General features: G+C 48.6%; 1 protein-coding gene across 10 annotated transcripts, besides 2 other annotated features; it reads left to right on the plus strand.

Annotated features, from left to right (window-relative positions):
- The first annotated feature begins 593 nt into the window (after nt 1-593).
- PNLDC1 (PARN like ribonuclease domain containing exonuclease 1) lies at nt 594-21,843 on the plus strand. 10 transcript variants are annotated; one of them, XM_017010312.3, is made up of 19 exons: nt 598-1,518; nt 1,911-1,968; nt 2,252-2,325; nt 4,410-4,449; nt 5,104-5,227; nt 5,688-5,776; nt 7,122-7,222; nt 9,879-9,955; nt 10,154-10,297; nt 11,165-11,234; nt 12,840-12,925; nt 14,740-14,795; nt 17,108-17,172; nt 17,682-17,735; nt 18,248-18,290; nt 19,694-19,793; nt 20,085-20,260; nt 20,393-20,491; nt 21,593-21,843. In XM_017010312.3, exons 1-19 carry the CDS (start codon nt 1,347-1,349, stop codon nt 21,654-21,656), a joined length of 1,692 nt encoding a protein of 563 aa, XP_016865801.1. In that variant the 5' UTR covers nt 598-1,346; the 3' UTR covers nt 21,657-21,843. The 10 variants fall into 10 exon arrangements, with proteins under 10 accessions (XP_024302107.1, XP_016865801.1, XP_016865803.1 ...); NM_173516.3 differs by having other exon boundaries at nt 1,415-1,522; nt 1,812-1,968; XM_011535491.3 differs by having other exon boundaries at nt 1,415-1,522; nt 1,843-1,968.
- Nucleotides 20,347-21,073: an enhancer, noted in NCBI's record as "H3K4me1 hESC enhancer chr6:160240240-160240966 (GRCh37/hg19 assembly coordinates)". NCBI's record gives its function as "activates a minimal SCP1, AML or CMV promoter by ChIP-STARR-seq in naive H9 embryonic stem cells {active_cell/tissue: H9 hESC(naive)}" and the evidence as "EXISTENCE:reporter gene assay evidence [ECO:0000049][PMID:30033119]".
- Nucleotides 22,721-23,527: an enhancer, noted in NCBI's record as "H3K27ac-H3K4me1 hESC enhancer chr6:160242614-160243420 (GRCh37/hg19 assembly coordinates)". NCBI's record gives its function as "activates a minimal SCP1, AML or CMV promoter by ChIP-STARR-seq in primed H9 embryonic stem cells {active_cell/tissue: H9 hESC(primed)}" and the evidence as "EXISTENCE:reporter gene assay evidence [ECO:0000049][PMID:30033119]".

Here is a 25,164-nt window from a genome sequence, read left to right on the forward strand (position 1 = left end):
CAGTTCTCTGAAAGGAGCTGATTAAGGTGTTAATTTTTGGCTATTTGATAAATGTGAGAAAAAACCTGTAGGCAGTTAAGGTGGCTTCTAGAGCATTGTTTTCCAGTTTTTTTAATGTATACCCCAATTAAATGTTTGTTTAGAAGTGAAATATGTTACTTCTGCCAATTTGAGTATTCAATGTGTTATTTTAAATGGAACACATCTGTATGAAGTATGATTTGTTCTGAGAGGTCTTCAGAATCAAATGGCTTAATAGTCCCCTTTTGCTTAATTAATGTCCCGGAGAGGCATTTAAAAGTATAATTGAAGATCGGATGCAGTGCCTCACACCTCTAATCCCACCACTTTAGGAGGCTGAAGCAGGTGGATCACTTGAGGCCAGGAATTCGAGACCAGCCTGGCCAATACGGTTTAACCCTATCTCTACTAAAAACAAAAATGAGTTGGGCGTGGTGGTGCATGCCTGTAATCCCAGCTGTTCAGAGGCTGAGGCGGGAGAATCGCTTGAACTCAGGAGGTGGAGATTGCAGAGAGCCGAGATGGCACCACTGCACTCCAGCCTGGGTGACAGAGTGAGACTGTCTCAAAAGGAAAAAATAAAGTATAACGGTAATGTTTTCTCCGCTAACCTTAAAGATTGATTTGAGCACCTCACTTTGAGGACCATAGTTCCAAAACGCTGTTCAAGTAGAAGCCTAGAATTCAAGGGAGGACACTGTAAGGAAGACCATGGACTAGTTGCACTGGAAACAGTAACAAAAGTAAAAATTAAGCTCACATGTATGTGATGATGTAGGTAGGGATTTCCGCAAGGAGTGAGTGCACGAGATAATCCCTGGGGACCAAGGATTCCTTCAATTTAATGGGCAGTTCTTGAGGCTTTGCAAAGTTTGATTGCAGGTGTGAAGACAGTGGTAAGGTGGACAGCAGAATGAGGAAAAAGATGTCCAGGGGCGTGGGAGAGGGAATGGGGACAGACATACTGGCAGTGATGGAGAAGTTGGGAAGAGGTGATTTAGAAGACCGTGAGCCGCAGCAAAGGATCTGCTTATTGCAGTTGCGTCCGGTGTTGTTCCTGCTCCGCTTTTCTGATTTCACCCTTTCTGGACTCTGTCTTCGTCTCCTGCCACGCCTCTTAACATTCTAAGTCCATGTAAATGACATTCTCACGTTAAGGGCTGCAAAGAAATTGCTGAGGAGCCAGGTAAACAGGCTTTGATTGCAATTGCAATCAAACCTCTGTAGCAAATCGTACAATTAAAACACCCGCAGGCAGGTGTGGGCGACGCCAGCAGCACACGGGGAAGCTGGGCACGTGGGGCGGAGGCAGCTGCCTGGTTTCCATGTGTGCGCCCTTTAAGACCCGGCGGCGCGACGGAAGCGCGTGGGCAGCACGTGGGCAGCACGTGATAGCGCTGGGCGACTCCGCGGAGCTGCACGGCCATGGACGTGGGCGCCGACGAGTTCGAGGAGAGCCTCCCTCTGCTGCAGGAGCTCGTCCAGGAGGCCGACTTCGTGGGTGAAGAGCCTGGGATTCGCGGCTGTGCCGGACAGAGCCCCTTGCCCCGGGCGAGCTTGAGGAGGGGGTGGCGGGACGGTTGCCAGGCCACAGGGCCTCAGAGAGGGCCTCGGGAAGGACAGGGGGGCTTCCTTCTCCAGCCCCGGGGCGGTGGGACTTTGAGCAGCAAGTACACTCCGAGCCCCACGTCCCTTGTTGGCCAGAGCCCCGTGCGCCCAGGTGCCTGGCTGCTCCTTGCCTTGGTTCCTCCATTTTCCCTTCCTGACCTCACTTGGCTTCTTGAGCGCAGAGGTGAGCGCGGGTGCCTTGGCCGCCTGCAGATCTACAGTGTGAGGAGTGCTGGCGATGTTCTGCACCCGAGGACTGCTATTTTTTGCCTTCCTGGCAGGTCTGGACATAGAGTTCACGGGCCTTCGTTCTAACCTGTCTGGGCCCCAGCAGATCAGGTAAAACTAAAGCTGTGTCCCCTCTGTATAAGAGCCTGGCCAGACCAGCACTGTTTCTGGCCAGCAGCCTGTTGGCATTTGGGGGGCAGGACGTTTTGTGTGGCTTGCTCCTACGTGTTGGAGGACCTTGCTTTTTTCTGTCCACTAAATGATGGTAGTGCTCCCTAGTTGTTGTAACAAGGAAAAAATCCTCCCCGGTTGCGAGTGGTGGTCCTGCCGCGGAGGCCATAGTGCCGGGATGGGATGTCATTGCTCGTGGAATGAGATGCCTGTTTGTTCACAGTCTTTTTGATTTGCCATCGGAGTGGTATCTAAAGACCCGTCAGAGTGTTCAGCAATTTACAGTCTGTCAGATTGGTGAGTTTAATATCAGCTGTTAGAGTTTTTCAAGAAGGTATTTTTATTGTCCTTGGATTTCCTACTGTAAAAACAGCTCTGAGATTTTTCAAGGATATTGAGTATCGTTTTGTATGCTTGTTTTGTGTTGGGCCATTGTATACATATGGAAATCAACACTTCGGAGCAAACCAAATTTAGCAGCATTGTTTCCGTGCTTAAATAAGTCAGTATTAAGGAACACTCACTGTTACTCTTTCAAGTAAAACTGTGTGTGTGCGATTTTTATTTTATTTTTTGAGACAGGGTCTTGCTCTGTCACCAAGACTGGAGTGCAGTAGCATAGTCTTAGCTCACTGCAGCCTAGACTTCCTGGGCTCAAGTGATACTAGCACGTCAGCCTCCTGAGTAAACTGGGACTACAGGCTCACCACCACACCTAGCTAATTTTTAAATTTTTTGTTCAGATGGGTTTTCGTCATGTTGGCCAGGCTGTTCTTGACTTCCTGGGCTCGAGCAATCTTTCTGCCTCTGCCTCTCAAAGTGATGGAATTATAAGCGTGAGCAACCACACCTGGCCTGTGATTTTTTTTTCTTAAGAAAATTTACACACAAAAATAATTTTTTTTAAGGTCATCTCAGTTTCAGAAACTTTTTTTTTTTCCTTGATGGGATTTGGAGATCTTTCTGTATCGGTTCATACAGATCTATTTGTTGATTTAGTTATTAGTTTATTTTCTGAGATGGAGTCTCGCTCTGTTGCCCAGGCTGGAGTGCAGTAGCGCGATGTGGGCTCACCGCAACCTCCACCACCCAGGTTCGGGTGATTCTCCTGCCTCAGCCTCCAGAGCAGCTGGGATTACAGGCAATTGCCACCAGGCCTGGCTAATTTTTGTATTTTTAGTAGCGATGGGGTTTCACCATGTTGGCCAGGCTGGTCAAGACAGAGCTGTTAACGGTTGCGTAATGCTGTTTCTTTTACAGCTACTCAATCCTGCTTTTGTAATGTGAAATTAGCTGTAGAGAATACATGAACAAATGAGCATGGCTCCATTCCAGTAAAATGTTATTGTATTTACAGAAACAGACCCTGGGCCAGATTTTACTTTTCTGGGTTTGTCTGTGCCCTCTCCCGCACCATTGGGTTTTTGCTGTGTTGCCCAGGCTGGGCTCAAACTTTTGGGCTCTGGAGATCCTCCAGTCTCAGCTTCTGAAGTAGCTGGGAGTGCTGCCACGCCCAGCCCCTGCTTTTACTATGAATGATGCTGAACGTGTGTGTGTTTTCCTCTCTATCCTGATCCTTTGCTACTTTTCTGTTATGGTTTTTTTTTTGTTCGTTTGTTTGTTTTTAATTATAAGACCTCTTTGAGAAGTATAGGAAACAGTTGTAGTTATGTTTCCATTGTTGTACCCAAATTTGTTTGGGGGGAAGGGGGACAGAGTCTTGCTCTGTTGCCCAGGCTGGAGTGCAGGGGCACGATCTTGGCTCCCTGCAACACCCTTGCCTCCCAGGCCCAAGCAATTCTCCTGCCTCAGCCTCCTGAGTAGCTGGGATTACAGGTGCGCGCCACCACACCTAGCTAATTTTTGTATTTTTAGTAGAGACAGGGTTTCACCATGTTGGTCAGGCTGGTCTCGAATTCCTGACCTCAAGTGATCCACCTGCCTAGGTCTCCCAAAGTGTTGGGATTACAGGCATAAGCCACCGCACCTGGCCTGAAGTCTTTTTTTTTTTTAACTTTGCATATGGTTTTCTTTGAGGGGGGAGGAATAGACATTTTAAATGAGTTAAATATATAAATCTTAATGGTTTTTGGTATTTTCTGTGGATAGTTTTAAAACTATGAGAATGTCATTTTAATATTTACTTCTGTATTTGAAGAACAGGCCACAATTAGATTTTAGCAAATTCAGTGTGAATTACAATTTGACATTTCTCATGCTTCCAGTCTGTCTTTTCTTTTTTGTCATTAAAGATGTTATCCTGTTGTACAGCCCACATAGTATCTGTGGGCGCAAAGTACTGTTTGAGTTGTTTTTGTCTTTGTAGTGAAATTCAGGTTGCTTTTCCTTGGCATTCATTCCCTCTACGGTCATTCTTCCAGGATTGTCTGTGTTTTCCGCTATTGAAGGAGAGGCAAACAAGTATGTATCAAGAGCTTCTGCAAACATAGGTGCTTCCCACCTATGTTCCACAGCTGCCACCTTCAAATTCTGCCTCAGGTGCCCCGATCACTTTTGCCCTGGATCTTCCGTATTCTCTCCTGTGTCTGTTCCTCCACTCACTCTGCCCTCTGCGGATTCCAGCTTGTCTTTGATGTCTCTCTGGAAGCAGTACCTTTCCCGCCAGCCTTGCTCTGTACCTTAAGTGCTCCTTTCCCCATTTCCATTGTCTCCAGTGTGCACCTATATTAATAAAAGCGCCTGACACAGTGTGGTGTAATGAAAGTGATGTTTAAACTACCTGACACAGTAGGCAGAAAGGATGCCCCAACTATCAGGATGCCTCCCCACCCCCCATGAGCAGTTGAGGGTGCCAGCCTGCACGCCCTAACCTGGCATCCCTGGGCAGCTTGTGGAGGGGCTGTCTCTGTGGTATACGCTGGCCCTGAAGGCAGGCTCTCTGCCTTTTTCATTTAGCACCCCCAGTGCCAATCATAGCTCCTGAAACACAGCAGACACTCGGGCACACTCAGATTCTTCTTGCCTAAAAGAAAGAGCCCACCCTGAAGCCAGCCCTGGGAGCCAGAGTTTTTTAAATGGTTGTGGCTTTTTCTCTGTATGTTTGTTTTATTATAGGTATATAGCCCATTCTTGTAACTTCTATCTCTTCCCTACAACGTTTGGGATTTTGGACTCAGAATTCTCCTTCCAGGCTTCCAGTGTTCAGTTTTTGAATCAGTATGGCTTCAACTATAACAAGGTATGGCATTGGAGGAGGGGAACGGGAATGTCTTTTGTTTGTTTCTGAGATGGAGTCTCGCTCTGTTGCCCAGGCTGGAGTGCAGTGGTGCAATCTTCGCCTCCCGGGTTCAAGTGATTTTCCTGCTTCAGCCTCCCAAGTAGCTGGGATTACAGGCACCCGCCACCATGCCCAGCTAATTCTTTTTGTATTTTTAGTAGAGACGGGGTTTCACCATGTTGGTCAGGCTGGTCTTGAACTCCTAGCCTCAGGCAATCCACCTGCCTCGGCCTCCCAAAGTGCTGGGGTTATAGGCATGAGCCACCGCACCCGGCCTGGGAATGTCTTACAAGTGATCTAGACGAACTGGCTTATACAGCCCGTCTCCTTTCCCCTTTCTACCTGTCCTCGTGAAATCAGGCACAGAGGATCCCTCTGACTTGTCTCCTTGTTCTGTTTGTTGTTCTGTTTCTGTCTTAAGTTTCTCAAAAACGGAATCCCATATATGAATGAAGAACAGGAGAAGAAAATTAGACACGATATCCTGACTGGGAACTGGAGAGTTCGCAGGTATGGCCTGTTTCTCCAGGTGCCTTTTTGTTTCCTTGTTGCTGTTGTCTGCATTTCCCGTGGGCGGGCGTGCCGTTTCCAGGAGTGTGGTGACCTCCATCCATGCTTGGCGGGGATGGCTTCAGCTGCCTGTGCAGCTGGCGCTGCTCTCCCTGTGCCCCAACTGAGAATGGCTTTCACCTGTCTCCATCATGTTCCACTCCCTAATGAACCTCTCACTGCGTTGAGTGTGAGTTTCAGTGTTTAAAAAGAAAAAGAAACTGACTCCTAATTTGGAACTCAAAGAAACAAGAATTCCATTCCAGTGCTAGAGGGGAAGAAATCGTTCTGTTGGACTTGCTGTGAGATGTTATGTTGATCCCCCATGTGATCTTCTGAGGGATTTTTCAAGGATATCTCTCGGGCAACCTTGACTGTGCCAATCATACTGGGCACTGACTTCAGATGTGTGCCTTGGTTAGGCTGTGTCTGCCCTGCTGTGCCTGACCCTGCTCCCCTAGGCCGGGACCTCTGCCTTTTTACTTTGGCTGTCTGTGCCAGCCCCAGTCTCCAAAACCTCGTATTCCTGTAGAGCTGGGGTCAGGAGTGACCACAGCGAGAGCAACAGCATTGTGGGTAGACGGACCGGGGGCCTTGGGGCTGGTACCCTCACCTGGAGCCAAGTGCTATCAGCTAGGTGTGGGTTTGAACAAGGTATGGAAGCTCTTTGCCTTTATCAGGAAGGGGGAGATTAAATGAACATCTGAAATGCGATGAGTGATGATCTCTTCCAGATAATTCTGTTATGTTGGAGGAATTTTTGTCTCTTTGTATTTTTCCTGCTGGTTTTCATATAAAAATGTAGCTTTTTGTAAGGGAAAAACAAGTTGAATTTTTAACCTTCTTTCATTTTCAAGAGTTGGAGAAAGGCCTTTCCTTATCTCAAAATGATGTTAGGTTCTGTTTCTGATGCAAGAGGCAATGTGTTTACCAAAGTCCTTGTCTTTTCCTGATTATCCCAGATAGAGACTTTATCACCCCTGAAAGCTGAATAAAGAAGACGGTCCTGATAGCAATGCTTGGTATTGGCTAGATACCAATAGCTTTTCCTCCATACATCCTAGTGAAGCAGGAGGGGATTGAATATATGCCTGGATCCTATGGAAGGTTGTGGGCTATTCTTCCAATTGTTTGGCTTCCTATTGCATAAGAGCCTCAGAGAAGAAATCGTCTTCTTTTGGTACATTTTCTTTGTATATTGCAACATGAAAACCAGAGGGTTCAGAAACTGCTCTCATGTTAACATAGTCTTGCGGTTCTGAAGTGTTTTTCTCTGACATGTTCACTTTCATGCGCCCATTTTCAGCTCTCCGGATAAAGACCAAATCAAGGTGGTGATTGACGAAGTGACGCGGTGGCTGGAGCTGGCCAAGGAAGGCGACTGGATGACTCTTCCTGGGATCACTGGTAGGCAGGGCCTGTTCCTCCCAACGCAGGAGCATTGGGACAGGTCACTGTCACCTGCCAGGAGTTGGGGGAAACACACCCTTTCTTGGGATCCTGGTCCCAAGTGCCTCATGACTGAGTCTGATGCAAGCATTTGTTTGGCGGTTACGGAGTCTTTGTGGTTAAAGTTCTGACCTGCATTCACACGTTGAAGGCTTTCGACATACTTTGGGTTTCAAGGCTGAGAAGGTCAAGTTCCATTCCTGAGCCATTCCTTTTATTTCAGTCCTGGGTGCCCTGTATTATCTTGACTTTTGTTAATCACTAAGCTTTTCCCCCAGCATGTGGTGTGGAGCCACAGTGAACACGCCATAGCTTAGCAGCTCTCAGAGGCTGGTCTATGGATCCTAGAGTCTCTGGGACCCTTTCCAATGGATATGTGAGGTCAAAACGGTTTTCCAAGTATCCCTCAGCTGTACTTGCTATTGTCATTGTGCCATTTGCATTGGTGCCCAAGCGATGTCGGACAAAGCTGCTGGCATCTCAGCACACATTAAGGCAGGAGCATCATACCGTGTTCTTCATTACCACTTACTCTCAGTTAAAAACGGAAAGGCCAATCTTAGTAGCAGCCTCCTTGATTAAAAAGTAATATTCTTGGTTGTATTAAATCTCAATCTTTTGATTACTCATCTTTTAAATATATGTCAATATAGGTATGTAAAAAATAAGTATGCATAAAACATTCCTTAGGTGTGTGCCAAAATACAGTGATTGTGTCAAGGAAAAGTGCTTGTGCAGTCTTTTGAGAGCTGAATTAGCTGCCTTTTTTTTTTTTTTTTTTTTGAAGATATAGTTTTGCTCTTGTTGCCTGGGCTGGAGTGCAATGGCACGATTTCAGCTCACTGCAATCTCCGCCTCCCGGGTTCAAGTGATTGTCCTGCCTCAGCCTCCTGAGTAGCTGGGATTACAGGTGCCTGCCACCATGCCCGGCTAATTTTTGCATTTTTAGTAGAGATGGGGTTTAACCATGTTGGCCAGGTTAGTCTCAAACTCTTGACCTCAGGTGATCCTCCCACCTTGGCCTCCCAAAGTGGTGGGATAACAGGCATGAGCCACCGCACCCGGCCCCATGAAATATCATTTTTACTGGAAAGAACTGATTGGTTGCTTAGACTTGAAGGTTTCACAATCATTTTCTCAATGAAAAGAGCTTGTTGGCCAGGTACAGTGACTCATGCTTGTAATCCCAGCATTTTGGGAGGCCAAGGCAATGAGCTAAGATGATGCCACTGCACTCCAGCCTGAGCAACACAATGAGACTCTGTTTCAAAGGAAAAAAAAAAGCCTGTCACTTCAAGGAAGATAACTCGCAGTATTTCCTAGTGATAAAATTACAGCTTTCAATCAACTGGAATTTTGAAGAATTTACATGTGCCACCGTAAGCTTGACAGCTTCCCAGTACCACAACCTTTCTGATGAGATCAGTGATCATATTTTCCAATGTCTTCTGTTGGTATTGTGTAATAAAATGTGCAAACATTTGGGAGACCTACATAACCCTGCCAACCAGCATTTTCCAGATTACTAGCACATAATGTTACTATTGTGCGCTATCTTATCTCATAGATAAGAGATCTATTCTAGGTGTGAGATAGGCCAGTGGATTGTAATGTAGCAGTACAATAAAACTCATTAATGATGGTTTCAGATTCCACAGTGCAATTAATCTTTAAGAAACTACCACTTGTTGAGTTTGGTACAGTTTTAAAGAATATCCAAAGTCATTTGATAAGGCTAGTAATTCTGTTCCCTTTTCCACCTACACATCTGCTTGAGGCTGGATTTTTTTTTTCTTTTTTTTTTTTGAGAAGGAGTCTTACTCTGTTGCCCAAGCTGGAGTGCAGTGGCACCATCTTGGCTCACTACAACCTCCGCCTCCCGGGTTCAAGGGATTCTCCTGCCTCAGCCTCCTGAGTAGCTGGGATTACAGGCATCTGCCACCATGCCTGGCTAATTTCTGTATTTTTAGTAGAGTCAGGGTTTCACCGTGTTGGCCAGGTTGGTCTCGAACTCCTGACCTCAGGTGATCCGCCCTCCTCAGCCTCCAAAAGTGCTGGGATTACAGGCATGAGCCACTGCGCCCAGCCGTGAGGCTGGATTTTCTTATGTTTCAATGATCACAACATATCAACAGATTGGATGCAAATGCCGATACAACATTCCAGCCAAATATTAGAGATTTGCAAAAATGTAGAACAGTGTCACTCTTCTCGCTAAGTTTTTGTTTTAGAAAATAGTTATTTTTTATAAGTGTTATTTTTGTTCATGTATAATGGGTTTTTGTTACTTAAAAAACTTCTTTAAATGTAAGAGTTTTAATTTCTAACATGTTTAATATCAATAGCTGTAACTCACATAAACACAAGCTCTATGGCATCCCCAACTTAAGAGTGGCCCTGAGATAAAAAAAAAAAAAAAAAACTCTTAGAATGCTGCCCCAGATCCCATCATGACAGGCCAGGCCCTGCCACATGGCTCATGGGCTTGGGCACCCTTCAAGCTCCCTTTCCACTTGACCTTTCCATCTCAGCTTCTGCTCCTCCAGGGCTTCTCTTGTGGGGAACATGCCACACGGTTCCAGGTGCTGTGTGCCCCTGTGTTTCCCTGCTGCAGGCTTCCAGGCCTTTGAGGTCCAACTGGTGCTGAGGCAGGCCCTCCCCAACATCTGGACGGTGCTGAAAGATGAGGGGGTGAGTTCTCACTGCGAACGGGGCATCAGTGGCTCCATTGTTTCTCTCTCATAATTGGCCAAATCTGGCCTCTGAAAAGCTTTTATCTTGCACGCTGCTAGTTTTTCCCCCTTTCCTTTTGTTTAGAGATGCAGAGCCATTTCTTTAGGCCTCATTCCTAGTAACCCAGGATTCAGGGAATTTGTCCCTGCTTTTCAGGTGGTAGTGAAGAAAGTGAGTAAACAACATCGTTGGTATCTTCAGAACACCTCTTGTGACCGAGAGAGCTGTTGGAAGGAAAATATTCTTCTCTCAGCAAGGGGTTTTTCTGTCTTTTTCCAAATGCTGGTGAAAGCCCAGAAGGTAGGAAAACATGTCTCTTTTCTTGGCCTAAAGGCAGTCTTTAGTATTTCTGGTCATAGATACTAAAGGCTCCTTCAACAACAAGATAAAATTCTTTGAGATAAGTGATTCCTTCTCATGAATTTTTTCATGTTTTACTTTCAGATAGGGTCTCACCTGTCACCCAGGCAGGAAGGAGTGCAGTGGCATGAACACGGTTCACTGCAGCCTTGACCTCCCAGGCTTAAGTGAAACTCATACCTCAGCTTCCTGAGTAGCTGGGACTACAGGCACATGCCACCATACCTGGCTAATTTTTTTTTTTTTTTTTTTTTTGGTAGAGACGGGATCTCGCAGTGTTGCCCAGAGTGGTCTCGAACTCCTGGGATCAAGTAATCTGCCTGCCTTGGCCTCCTAAAATGGTGGGATTATAGGCATGAGCCACTGCACCTGGCCTTCCTTCTCATTTATAACTAGCTTCCTGGATCTAACCTTGCTTTCACCAAATCATGATAGGTTAATTTGGGGCAAGAGTATCCATAAGAAACAGTACGACTTCTCTGCTCCTTTCCGTAACACAGGAATTTCAGTACTAACTGACCTAAGACTCTTTGGGGAAACTGCAAGTGCCTGCTTCACAGTATAGGTTTCCAGCGCAGACCCTGCCTTACGTGCCTCCTACTTGTGAATTGTTTTCTTTTTTCTTTTTGTTGGCATTTAAGCGGTTGAACTACCTTTCACAGAGGCAAAGGAAGGTTAGGATGGAACTGTCAAGTGATCAGAATTGCAGTGGGTTCTAACACTATATCTTTTGCAAGAAACTGTTAGTCTGTAGTGTCTGGATTACATTTTTTTATTTTCTCTCACCTGTTGATTTACTCCAAGTAGCCCTTAGTGGGACATAATATGATGATGGACCTGCTGCACCTCCATGAGAAGTTCTTCAGACCCCTCCCAGGTAGGGGCAAACCTGTCATTTCTCTTCCTTCACGCTAGTTTGCCATCTGGCAGAGGGATTGGTACACAATCATACCCCTGAGGCAGCTCCTAAAATGCCCATTCCTCCCCAGTGTCTGCAGGTTTCTGGAGAGTTTGGGCAGAGGCCTGTACTCTGATCTGTTACTGTCTCCCCAGAGTGGAAAACCAGGAGACTTTGTCAAGGGGGAAAAAATTTAAATTTGAATTGATACCCCTCTCCCCATTACTGAAGCTGTTCAGAGTTATTGTATGAAGCTTGGCAAAATCAGAAATGCATGAAGTCAGAAGTCACCTTTAATCAGCTAGTATCCTGAATTTTTACATATTTGATTACACTATTTGATTTTTGTTTGGCTTTTTTTCCACTTACCCAAAGCATTATTTTATGTTGTTAAAAACCTAATAAATGCTGCTTCAGTGTCATGTGACACTGTCTTCTGGCTGTCCCCTACTGTTTCATGGTTGATTCCATTATTGGACATTCAGTGGTGCAGCCTAGTGGGTAAAGTGGGGCCTCGAGCCTTGGTGATCTCATCCATCCCACACTCACTACGTGCGTAGTCTCCAGCGAGTTGACATTACCTTAATTGTAAGATTGGGATAATAGTGCCAATATCAGAGTTGTGAGATTAAATGAATTAATAAACGTACAAAGAACACTAGTCTAGATTACGAGGGGTAAGAAAGTTTTAGGAGCCATTTCCCCAAGAAACAATGAAACACCTGAGTTTGGGCATATTGAGAGAGTTGGAGAATTAGCAGTGAAATTAATAATACACATTCACCAAAAAACTAAGTACAACAAAATAAGCGCTGGGAGAACAAAAGCTGTGCAAGAAAGGAGAAGTCATTGTAGCCACCACAGAGCCTTTTGTGAATGACGCGCGTGGGGCGATACGGGCATGTGTGTGGAGGTGGAATGAGAGGGGTCATCACCCTCTCAGCCGGTGGGAGGTCGGGAGTGAGGTGTCTAACACCACACCATGCATGTGCGAGAGAGATGGGAATAAATACCAAAAGGAAAAGAACTGCGAGTGGTTGCCTTTGGGGAGTAGGAAATGGGAGAGTAGCGGGAAGAGATCACAGGGTTTTGTTTTTAGTGTGTGTGTTTTGCAATAAACCTCTTTAGGTGCAGGTATAACTGATAACTTTACCAACTGAGTTCTTGCATAAATTTTCTTTTATCAGGACACTTTACTAGTTATAATTTTTGATTTTTTTTCTTGGATTTTTCTCTGAGCAATTATTTACAAATGATATCATGTCTGCCTTTCTGATAATACTTCTATTTTTAAGTCTTATCCCATCGGCTAGAGCTTCGCAAACTACATTAACTACGGTTGGCAATAGAATGCATCCTGAATTTAATAGAAAACCGTTCGGCCTTTACTATTAAAAGTGGTGATGGCAGCTTGATCTGAGTTTAGAAATCCTTAGTGGCTAGGATTAATGGTGTTTTCAATTCCTGTTTTGTTTCAGTTTGCTTTATTAATCAGTGCCAGTGGCAAGCTAGGTTCAAGAATGTTCCTTCCCATTTTTGCCAACAAACAAATTCACTCTTGACTACCTGGGTTTTTCCCCTCAGAAAGCTACGATCAATTTAAGCAGAATATCCACAGCCTATTTCCTGTTCTCATTGATACCAAGAGTGTAACAAAGGATATCTGGAAGGTAATGAATAGAACTGCTTTGGGTTAAGAACTGCTTTTTCCATACCAGTAACACTTAGCTTTCTCTTGTGGGGTTTTTTTCTTGTGTTTTTTTGTTTTTTTTGTTTTGTTTTGTTTTGTTTTGTTTTGTTTGAGAGGGAGTCTTGCTCTCAAAGCCAGGCTGGAGTGCAATGGCGCGATCTCAGCTCACTGCAACCTTTGACTCCCTTGTTCAAGCGATTCTCCTGCCTCAGCCTCCTGAGTAGCTGGGATTACAGGTGCGCACCACCATGCCCTGCTAATTTTTTTGTATTTTTAGTAAAGACGGGGTTTCACCATGTTAGCCAGGATCGTCTTGATCTCCTGACCTCATGATCCACCCGCCTCGGCCTCCCAAAGTGCTGGGATTACAGGGGTGAGCCACTGCGCCCGGCCTGCCACTTGTGTTTTTTAAAGTTGTTCCTTGATTGCTTTTCTCTCTTCAAACCAGTATCAGTTTCCTTTTGTATTTTGGCACCTGTGCATCATTGTATTAGCTTATATATGACTTATTCCCTTTCTCTCCCTCCAGTTTCCACATTTTGACTTATTTGTGTAGAGTTTTTGTGCTTATTTAGATCAGACAACAGAACAACTTATTTTAGAACTTGATGCATGCCTTAGGAATATTTGCAACATGTGTACAGAGCACTGGGGGGGAGGGGGTTCCCTCCTGAAGAATCTTGAGAAAACCTCTTCTTCATTGAGCCCTCCAGTCATGGGTTCTCAGTCCTGAAAACATGTTGGAATCACGTGGAAAGTTGAAAATGCTGATAGCCAGGCTGCACTGGCAGCTTTTTGTCTGACCTAGAGTGGGGCCAGGTGGTATTTCTAAAGCTCCCTGGGTGATTCTGTTGTGGAGTCGAGGCTGTGTACTATGCATAGAGAAAAGCGACCTGACTGGTTTAAATGCTGCTTAGAAACGAAGCTGAGAATAGCCAGGCACAGTGGCTCACACCTGTAATCCCAGCATTTTGGGAGGCTGAGGTGGGTGAATGGCTTGAGCCCAGGAATTTGAGACTAGTCTGAGCAACATGGGTGAAACTCCATCTCTACAAAAAATACAAAAATTACCTGGGCATGTTGGTGCACACCTCCAGTCCTGGCTACTTGGGAGGCGTAAGTGGGAGGATCACTTAAAGCCCGGGAAGTGGAGATTGCAGTGAGCCGAGATTGCACCCCTGTATTCCAGCCTGGGCAACAGAGGAAGACCCTGTCTCAAGGGGAAAAAAAACAACAACTGAAGAACAGAGAAGGGGGCATCAGATCAATCTTGTGAAGCCTTAGAGTGATCCCTTACAAGTGAATTATCCAGCAAGGATGCCGCACAGATGGGAGTGGGGTCTGTGGTCTGTCTTTGCCCAGAGGCTGTTATTATTTGTAGTTGGTGTATTTCCAGCTACTATGAACTTTTAGGATTTAGTAACCAGGCATTGCCCCAAAGCCCTCTAGGCCTTAGAATGCCTGTATGCTCCATGTATGTCCCTGGCCTTTGTCCTCGTGCCTTGCTTTCCTGTGTTTATGGGTAATCTGTTGAACACATTTTCTAAGGGAGATAGTGTGTGTAGAGTTTTTTTCTAGCCTAGGTTTTTGAGAGTCCTTCTAGGAAACCCAGGAATACTGCGTACCCTGACATCCTAACTAAGGAATAAGGATGGTTGCACCATTTGAAGAGAAAGAGGAGGTTGTAGGAGTGAGCATTTTCCAGGCCATTTTAATGACCATTTGGTACTGCCTGAAACAGAGAATAAACAAAAGCGCAAATGTTTTCCTCTGGTTTGTTTTCCATGATTGTAGGAGATGAATTTCCCGAGGGTGTCGAATCTTTCGGAAGTCTATGAAGTCCTGAACAGGTGAGGACGGCGATTCCTGGAGCTACTGCTGGAGCGGCCTTGGTGGCCTCCCTGTGCTCCGCAGGCCTTTGGGCTCTCTAGGCGTGCCCACCATTCACAGTGATGCCTGCTTGGGACTTGGTCTCCTCCAGCTCCTCCTGCTTCATGGCCCCCTTCCTCCGATGACCCTCTTGCCTCCGTTTCCAAAGAGAGAGAAGCCAGAGACAGGAAATCTCTCAACCCCTGCCCCTCAAACAGTTGCGCGATTACTGTCCCCTTTTTCATTGTCTCGCCCCTGTCACCAGCAAATGGAGCACCTTCCCTGTGCAAGGCCAGGCAGGAGGAGCTGCCACCTACTCGTCACCTTCACCCCTGCTCAGCAACTCCCCACCCCTACCTGCCCCTTCCCGGGGTGTCTCCACCTCTTTCTGTCTCCCTCTCATTTCCTTCCACATCAACAAGTGTTCTCCCAACTTAACGACAAAGCCTCCTGAACTCTCTATGCTCCTCTTTCCTCAGCCCACGGCAGGCAGGGCCTTGTCTCCTTCACTCTGCTCTCCGCAGGGGCACCCAGAGCCGCCAGTCTGTCCCCAGTCAGCAGGACGAGGCACGAGAGGCGTTTGGAACAGGGATGGCACCCTGTTCTGGATGTGTGTGTGCGATTTTTTAAAACCCATTCCTTGTGATTCGTGTTCTCTACCTGTCTCCTACGTTTTCTCTCAAGGGCCCCTCCTCAACCGTGTTCCTGCTCATTCCTAGGCTCCCATGTGGCCTCATCCACCCCCTGGGCTTCAACTCCCAGCTCCTGTGTACCGCTGCGGTCCAGACCTCAGCATCTAGGACACTGCGTTTACCAGCTGTCTTCTTGATGTTCCCACCCTACATGACCTATGGGCACCTTCAACTTGACCCTCCTCTCTGTCCCTCAAGCACACTCTAGTGCCTGCAAATTCAGAAGTCTTGATGGTACCAGGCATGATACTGAGGGCTGTGTGTGCATGAGAGGGCAAAGCGGGGAGAGAGCTTTGTTGTAAATGCACAGGCTCTGATTCCAGGCTTCCTGGGTTTAAATCCCAGCTTTGCCACTCACTGGTTCTGTGAGTGACCTTGAGAGAATTACTTAATCTCTCTGTGCCTCAGTTTAACTATCTGTGAGATGAGAAAATAGTGTGTAACTCCAAGGTTGTTGTGAGGATTAAATGAGTTTGTAGATGTGGAAGGACTTAGAACAGCCCCTTGCATGTAGTCCAGGTCTGTTGAACCTTAGCTGCTGTTGACAACTATCCCAATCCTAAAGGACAGCTCATGGCACACCCACGACGACGACGCCTGTTTTACAGATGGGGACATTAGGGGTCAGGAGGCTAAGCACGTGAGGTTCCAGAACATCTTATTGAAAACCAGTGAAGCAAAGGTTTCCTTGTCACACACCATCTCCATTCACCCAGGTCCTGGAGCCAAGACCTAGAAGGGGTCACAGAGCTGAGTTGCTCACATCTGTTGAGTCAAGTTTTATGGACTTGACCCTGTAAGTCTCTCAAACCTCTCCTTTCTCTGCATTCTCAGGATTATTGTCTTTTCATTCCAACCAAGGAACTGTGGTAGTAGCCCCTGAGTGGTGTCCCAGCCTTGTGGCCTGCCCTCTTCATACCCCACACCGCCCCTTGAGTGATGATCTAGAATGTGAATTTGAATGGGCTCTTTTTTCTGATCAGTCTTTCTGTGGTTTCTGAAGCCCCTGCCTGTTGTAGGGGCTCCTCCCCACCCTCTTGGCCCTCCCTTCACACAAAGGCTTCAGCCCCACTTCTCAGCTCACTGCTTCTGGGGTCAGACCTCCTCCTTTTCCTCACTGTCTTTGCCTGCTCGAAATGCCTGCCGTCTCCCCATTCCTTGAACTCCATTGGATCATGTGGTTTGGGACTCTCCATGAGTGCTGTCTGCCTCCAGAAGCCTGCAGGGTCCTGGCGTGACTGTCATGCCTCAGGCCTTGCATTTACAAGAGGCAGGCATAATTGTCTCCGTAGTCGCTAGACAGGCCACTAGACAGCTCCGGAGGACAGAGACAGTATCTTGTCTATCTTGGTGCCTGGGCTCAAGTGAAGCATTTGATAAATGCCTGGAGTAACTCCACTGGGGCCTCCTGCACCATTGTTCTTTCCCCTTTCCTGTTGCCCAGTTACTAAGATCTTACCTGTCCATGCTTAGATTTGCACCTTAAAGATATGTCCTCAGTACATTTAAAAAATTTATATTAACTTAAGGGACTGAGGGGGAATACAAGAAGGGATTACTTTCAGCAAATTGTTTTTTATTCTATTTTTCTTTTCCAATAGTGACTTGAATCCCACCAAGAATTCTGGACCAGAGATTGTTCACGCGAGCAGGTGTGAGAAATATGGTACGTTCCCATGAGCCCATAATCCTTGCACAGTCGGCAGAGTGCTGAGGTGCTCAGCTGAGCTTGTCCTTGACCCTGGTTCCCCCACACCCCTCCCCACCCACCCGCCACACCCCTCCCCACCCCCCCACACCCCTCCCCTCCCCCCCACCTCTCCCCCTGCCCCGCCCCAGGCAGCAGGGGAGGGGGAGGTTTGTGTGGGGTTTTCCTTCACTCTGCTTACTCCATGTAACTCCTGCCCCAAATGAGCGAGCCCAGAATGCATCCAAGAGCCCTGGGAGTTGTCCATTTCCTCCTTAATGTGGTCCTTAGTCTATAAGGCAGCTCTGATCTTGGGGCTTTCTCCACCGTGGGGAGGACCAAGGTGAAGTTGGTGTGTGGGCCTGGAGAAGGGTATGCAGGACCATGGGAGGTTGTATGAGCTGCAGCCACTGTGGATGGTGAGCTAGGATGGGGCGTGTTTCTAATGACTGCTCAATTCTCTGTCCTCCTGGTGGAAAATGCCTCAGTTGAGACAAAGTGCCCCCACGAAGCCGCGTATGATGCCTTCCTCTGTGGGTCAGGTAAGGATTGCGGTTCCTTTAAAAGGAAACTCACTTTTTTTTTTTTTTTTTCTGAGACAGGGTCTCACTCTGTTGCCCAGGCTAGAGTACAGTGGTGAGGATCTCGGCTCACTGCAGCCTCTACCTCCTGGGCTCAGGTGATCCTCCCACCTCAGCTTCCCGAGTAGCTGGGACTACAGGTGCATGCCACCATGCCTGGCTGGGAATACAGGTGCATGCCACCACACCTGGCTAATTTTTGTATTTTTTGTAGAGATGGGGTTTCACCATGCTGCCCAGGCTGGTCTCAAACTCCTGGGTTCAAGCAATCCACCCGCCTCGGCCTCCCAAGGTGCTGGGATTACAGGCATGAGCCACCACACCCAGCTGGAGACTTACTTTTTGTTGGCAGTATGCCCCTGCCGTCCCTAGATTCTACATTTATTTCAGATTGGCTTGCACATAATGAGATAAAGCATAAGCATGCACATTTTGATAAGCTCTATTGCATTTCTGTCTTTTTTCCTTCCTAGTTCTTTTGAAAGTGGCACACTTGCTTCTACAGAAGATATACCAGTAAGTGTTCTTTCTTTTCATCCTACTGTTCAATCGGTGGTCAGGATTTATTGAGCCCTTGCTGGAAGCCAACACCTCTCCAGTCCCAGGGTTCTACCAAAGAAGGGAGAATGTGAGGTGTCACTGGTATAGAAATCTTGTCCCTGACTGGGCAGCAGCCCACAAATGGCTCTGTGCCACAGGAGTAGCCCTTCCTACCACCCCTGTGCCTGCCTGTATGGGTCCTGGCCCCCTCATCCCCGCAGATGTCAGGAGGCCAAGGCAGTGGGGTTAGGCTTAGGTTCTGACACCTGTCTCAGTCCTTCCCAGCCTGGTGTGTGCTTGATTGTCTCTCACTTGCTTTCTTATAGCCATGTAAGCAACAGTGAGGTATGAGGAGAAAGTGTTCAGGTCAATGAATGACATATCCTTTGTTGGGGGCACATAGGCTAGGGAGAGATTAGTGGAACCCCACATTGGAATCTTCAGTGCATTTCCCCATGGCAACACCATCTTTGATGCCTGCAGCCCTGGGCACGTAGGCACCAGAAACACATTAGCAGCGTGCACGCTACAGCACCGTCCTTGGCATGCACGTTAGTTAAGTAGGACTTAGCCAGCCAGGTGAAGGAGCCCATCAAAATTCTAATGTGTGCTTTGGGATTGATGTAGAAATATCTTTTTGGACTATGATCTATTAACTTGGGTACTGCCTATATTTGTCCATTTTAGCAGTGGATGTTATAAATACAAAAGTTCTGTGACACACGGATGGGAAGCTTATTTCTTAAATGTGCCAGCCTAACCCCCTCTCTTGTGGTTTGACTGTTAAAGGGCCCCCTGGTAAGTACGTGTGTGCTGGACAGTGAAGGAGCTAGCAGTGGTGGGGCACCTCAGTGCCTGGTGTCACACATCTTTTATTTCTTTTAATCCTCATGGCCTAAAAGCCCTCCCTGCCTGTCTGTGTGGCCCGTGGTTTTGCCGGGGCCCTGCGCTCAGGTGTGTGTGCTCCCTGGACAGAGGGGGCACTGGCAGTGGGAGGAGGCTGTGGGATGAGGGATGCCCTTTTGGAATCAAAGGTGATGTCTTACCAAGGGGGGACAGCATGGGGCTTTCTCTGAATAGTGGCCTCGCACTGATTCTCTGAGCCTATTGCTGTTTGTCACCAGTGGGACCCTCACCAAACCATCACCAGCAGATGGTGACTGTCTGGAAGCTCTTCTTCTATGTGGCCACGGAGAATGCTTTTAGACTTGCCAGCTGGGGAAGCACCCAACCAGAGCCCCAAGACTTGTGAGGGCAGGAGGGAGGGAGAGCCGTCCGAGGGAGTGTCCTTCTGTTCTGTCACCGGATTCTTGGCTGTGGCCGAGGAAGTGGATGAACTTCTGTGCGCCCGACAGCTTTGGGGTTTTCTGTCCTTGCAGCATCGACCCCGTGCCCGAGTCATCCTTTCCTCAGTACCTTGACGTGCTGGCTCCTTACGTGAACCAAGTGAACCTCATCCGAGCGGGGGTCCCAAAGATCGTGAGTAGATCTCATTTGGCCCCCTCGCCCCATTCAGAGTTCAGAGGCTTTGCTGGGAAGCGGCCAGTGCTCTCTGGGACTCGTGAGAGGGATTTCGGTGGTCGGTGAGATGAGAGCTGGGTTTTTCTTTCCTCTCATGTTTCTCCACTAAAGCCAACATGGACTCATCCTTCCTTCTCTTCCCCTCCCTGCCCCAAGCAGAGCCTTTCCTAGTTTCTTTTGAGATCTTCAGACTGGATAAGAAGTCAGGAAGAACTGTGGAAAATCTCTTGTGTTCTGCATGTTTTCTAGAATTTTTCTGGTCCAGATTATCCCAGTATCCGACCTCCCATCCTCATCCTCAGCGTCAAAAGGTGGCCTGGGGTCAGCGAGCAGCAAGTCTACCATAAGTTTCAGAATCTCTGCAAGTTTGATGTCAGGCGACTCACAAGAAGCCAGTTCTTACTCCTGACCAATAAGTTTAAGGAGTAGGTGCCTCTAAGTCCGCGTCCCCCACCCCTCGTGCGTTCATCCCTGTATCTCTCTGACTCCACCCGCCTGATCACAGCAGGCGGCGCCATCCTGCTGCCTGGCTGACCACAGCAAACTTGTTTTGGCAGTGCGCGGAACATCCTGAAGGAGTACCGGGACCACCCGACCCTGTGCATCTCCCTGTACCGCTACTGGAGGCACTCCCCAAACGTCAACTGCCTGCTCCAGTAAGTGACAGGCTGAGGCCACCTGCCTGTCCTGGGGTCCTGGAGTGCCCGGGGTCCCAGCATCCCAGCATGGTCTGACTCGAGCACAGCTCACTTGCTGGTGTGTGTTGCCAAGGGGGTTGTGTTGACGAGTGTGGTGCCCTGAATGTCCTTCAGTGATGCCGCGTGTCTGTCGAGCACCTGCTGTGCTGGGCACCATCGTAGTTCTAGGGCCTCGTCAGTGAAGCAGAAAATCCCTGCTCTCGTGGAGCTCACGTGCTGGGGGAGACAAACAGGATAAACAAATGGACCCTATAATGTGTTGGGTGACAAGTGTTTATTAAAAATGAGAGAAGGGTCAGGAGTGGGTGGCAGGCTGCAGTTCAAAGGAGCTGATGGGGGTCTTCATTAGAGACTTGGAGTGAGCCAGGCGGAGGGGGCAGCAGGACGGAGCCTTCCAGTCAGGAGGTGCCCGGAGTGTCACGGGGAGAGGCCATTGTGAGCAAAACAGCAAGGAGGGGGATGCAGGAGAAGGAACCAGTGCCCCCCAGCTGGGGGCCACCCAGGGAGGACGTGGGCTTCTCTCAGGAGAGAGGGAATCGCGGAAGTTACAGCAAGAAGGTCTATAACCCGACTCAGGTTGTCTTCCGTGTTGGGGTAGACTGTGGAGGCGAGACGCTGTGAGAGCAGTCAGGAAGGAGATGCTTCAGCTGGGTCACAGCTCGGTGCAGCCAGGGGCAGCGGGGTGGAGTCAGCGACAGACCAGAGAAGGATCAAGTACGAATCCAGGGTTTGAGTCCTGAACAGCTGGAAAGGCAGAGTTGCTGTCAGTTGAGCTGGGTGAGGTTCTGGCTTGCGGGTTAGGGGCACATCCGTTAGAAAACAGCATTGCTGAGGAAGCACAGTGAGCTCCGAGGCAAACCCTTTTTCTTTCAACCTGCGGTTTGCATCCCAGAGCCAGCCTAACCTCGAGAGGCAGAAGTTCAGTGTTGTCGTCGGGAGAGTGACAGCAAGAAAGAACATCTGAGTGCACGGGGCTGGGAAGGAGGAGGGGCAAGCCTGTGTCGGTGCCTCTCGGCCTGCTGGGTGCCCCGGCCACTGACACGTGTCATTGTCTTGCAGAGTCTGTGGCATAGTGACTGCCTGGGCCCTTCTCGCGTTCATCCTTGGAAGATCTGGTACCTGAGTGCAGCGAGGCCTCCTGCGGCCACCCTCGGGTCCCCATGCTCTCTGGGAGGTGTGCTGGGTGTGTTCGTGTAAATCAGATTCTGTTTGCAGATGGATCTGTTTGGTCTTTTCTAGAAATTCTGTTATGTCCTGAACGTGAAATTCTGTCAACACTCTCAATGATAAATCAGTCCTTAGATATCGTACCTGTATGTGTGGTCAGAACTTTTCTTGCTATAAATGCAGGCGGAGCAGTCAGCACCTCGAGATTTAAGCTAATGTCTCAGGAGCAGGTCATTGTGCTAGGAGCTGGACACCAGATGAAGAAAAGGGGACGTTATTTCTGGGGGAAAAACTAATGGCTTATTATTGGCTGTTGTTGACTTAGTTCTGAGAAATGGCCTTCCTAAGTTTAGTAAAGGAAGGATGTGAAGCTTGGAAGAGGGGAAGTCGTGTGCACTGGGGACATTTTTGACAAGTGTTATAAACCGTAAGACATCCACGTGCATTTAGAAACAATGACCCGCAGCCACAGTGTGCACCTTTGACGTTGGCACAGTGGGACACTGTGTCCTCCACAGTGGTCTGCACTACACTCAGCTTTCTCGGTAACTTTTCTCTGTGGGGATCTCGACTCGGCTGGGCTCTTTGCTCAACCTGGAGCTTCACTTGTGGGCTCTGCAAAGCTGATTGAAATTTAGCCTGGGAGACATTTTTCCTCTAGAGAAACAAGCGTTAGTGGTGGTAGCTGTCCACAGGGGGGTTTGGGAACTGCCTTTCCAGAGGTCGCACCCCTTTCCTGAGGGGTGAGGGGCCCGGTGGCCCTACAGGATCCTTTGCGACTTATGATCTGACCGGCCACGCCACACTCGGAACAGCAGCTGTTTCCTCATCTGCTCAAACCGCATTGTAAGGGAGTGTCAGGGTGTTGGGTATTTTGTTTGTTTGTTTGGTTGGTTTTTTTTCATTGAAAGTAACTTGTTTTGAGACAGGGTCTCTGTCGCCCAGGTTGCAGTGCAGTGGCACAATTGTGGCTCACTGCGGCTGCAGCTTCTACCTCCAGGGCTCAAGCAATCCTCCCACCTCAGCCTCTCGAGTAGCTGGCACCACGGATACATGCCACCACACATGACTAATCTAAAACAATTGTTTTTGTAGTGATGGGGTCTCCCTATGTTGCCCAGGCTGATCTTGAACTCCTGGCTTCAGGCCATCCTTCTGCCTCAGCCTCCCAGAGTGCTGGGATTACAGGCGTGAGCCACCAATCCAGGCTGGTTGAACGTAACTTCGCTGAGGAGAATTCCACTTTTCTTTCATGGGCTTTGGGCTTGACTGTGTTTGGGTAAGCCCTGCTTTAAGTACTCTTGCGAGCCCCTCTCAGCTGCCTGTCTTGAGGGCTGTTTGGCATCCCAGCGGTGGAGCAGGGCCGGGCGCTGTAAGCTGTTCCACAGTGCTCTGGAGTTGGAGGCACACAGCACTTTCATAAGGCCTTGTTCATTCACCTCTTCTCTGTTCAGCGTGTCTTCACTGGGCACCTGGTGCATGCCCTTCGGTGCACCATGCTATGGGCAGGGTCCTCATGTCCATGGTGACCTGGCTGACCCCACAGCCCTGTGTCGTGCCTGCTGTTGCCTAGGGCAGCCCTGAGCTGGAAGAGCTGGAAGCTGTGCCACAGCCAGGCTTTGTAGATCAAGTTTACTTTCTGAGCAGTGCTCAGGCGCTGCTGACCAGGGCACTGCTCAGAAATGCTGAGTGGTTCGGGGCCTCCTGCCCTTAGCAGCTCTTGCCCTGCCTAGATGGCGGTGAGGGAACGAGGCAGGCTCTGAGTCTCTCCCAAGGTGCTCTCCCCGCTCCCCTAGCTCTTCAAGGCTGTGTTTTACCTGCAGGTCTCCCTCCAATCAGTAAATGAATAAAACCGAAACAAGGCAAAAAGCCAGCCATTCTTCTCTCCTTCCCTAACTCTATCCCCTCTCCCTGTGGCCCAGCTGGTCTTTCCCTCTCCACCCAGGCTTTCGAGCACGTGCTTTCCATCGTTCTCGCCCCTGCTGCCCGGGGCCCAGCCAGTCATTAGGGCTCCCTGGCTTCCCTCTCACTCCTCCATGGCCCTGGGTGGTGCAGCTCCTCTGGACGCTCTCCCCAAGTCTCTGGTCACTCTCTTCTCGATTGCCCTCAACTCTTCCCCTGGCCCTTTAGATGTTGGTGTTCAAGGACCTGGCACCATCCGCCGTGACAGTGCCGGGCCCCAGCATGACTCTGAAGTTTGTTCTCAGCTAACGTCTCTCTCCTGGGTCCCAGTTCACCTACTGAGCCTCTAGATTTTCCCACAGACACGCCAAGCTCCACACAGGCAGGATGGATCACTTTCCCTCCAACTCACCTGCCTCGATGGAGGTTGTGAGCACCTCCCCAGCTGTAGCTTCCAGCTCCTAAACTCTCCCCACCTCCCTGCCCCGCCTCTGAGCAGCCACTCACTTGCAGCTCCTAGACTCTCCCCGATCCCTGCCCCTCCTCTGAGCAGCCACTCACTGGCAGCTTCTGTCTTCGTGCAGTTCTCCTGGCTGTCCAGACCCCCTTCACATTACCTAGACAGTTTCAGGGTCTCCTCAGTTCTGGGAGAGCCCTGCCTGCCTCCTCTTCTCCCTTTTCTGCTGTGGCCCTCACGGACATAAGTGGGCTCCAGAAGGCAAATCTGGTCATCTCTCCTGCCCAAGCTCCTTCTGTGGATTCTGCCCCAAGTCCACAAGCCCTTTCTCTCTGTATTTGGGGCCCTGCTGTGTCTCTGGTCCCCCACGGGTGTCTGTCCTTGGGATCACTGTTTCTCTTCCTCTTCTCTGAGCCACTCACCACTTGACCCAGCTCAGTGGACATCTCCTCTAGGTTCTAGGTCACTGTTGCCTGCTGTACCTGTCAGGTGTCGGGGGCTCAACCTGTCTGAGTGCCTCTTGCCTGTCCCTGCTAGAGCACTTGGTGCTGTGTGGCAGTGTCCCCTGGCCTGGCCCTGCACAGGTGGGCAGTGGAGTTCTGGAACCTGCAGGGGCCCTCAGTATCCTCACAAGCCAGTGCTCCCCATGGCTGGAGGCTCTGCTGTGTTTTTCGACAGGGATTTGAGTTTGTTGCTGCTGCTCAGGTGAGGTGCTTTGAAAATGGCCTTGAGTAACTGATGTGCTTCTGCAGCAGAGGGAAAAGACAAATGGCAGCCTCCGAATCTGCCCAGCCCAGGGTGTTCTCACTGACCCACACGACCTGATCACTTAGAAGTGATGTGATTTCATGTCCTTGTTCTTACAATTTTGGTTCTTGTTTGTGGTTTAAATTATTTCTGTGAGATTTTTGGTATGAGAAAGAAAGTGACTAGAAATAGCCTTAAATGATCTTAAAATTAGCTAATCTTTCTCTTTACATCCTTCAGGTACTAAGTTCAGGCTGCCGTAACAAAAATACCATAGACAGGGTGGCTTAAAAAACAGAATCTTATTTCTCACAGTTCTGGAGGCTGGGAACTCTGAGAGCTGGCGCCAGCTGAACTG

This window comes from Homo sapiens, chromosome 6 (assembly GCF_000001405.40).
Source record: "Homo sapiens chromosome 6, GRCh38.p14 Primary Assembly".
NCBI lineage: Eukaryota > Metazoa > Chordata > Mammalia > Primates > Hominidae > Homo > Homo sapiens.

What these genes read in the sequence shown, in the direction of transcription:
- PNLDC1 (XM_017010312.3), top strand. Translation starts at nt 1,347, where the DNA reads ATGTGTGCGCCCTTTAAGACCCGGCGGCGCGACGGAAGCGCGTGGGCA. An exon ending in ATTGAAGGAGAGGCAAACAA is followed by an intron (nt 4,450 to 5,103) that starts GTATGTATCAAG and finishes GTTTTATTATAG; the next exon opens with GTATATAGCCCATTCTTGTA. An exon ending in CGGTGCTGAAAGATGAGGGG is followed by an intron (nt 9,956 to 10,153) that starts GTGAGTTCTCAC and finishes CCTGCTTTTCAG; the next exon opens with GTGGTAGTGAAGAAAGTGAG.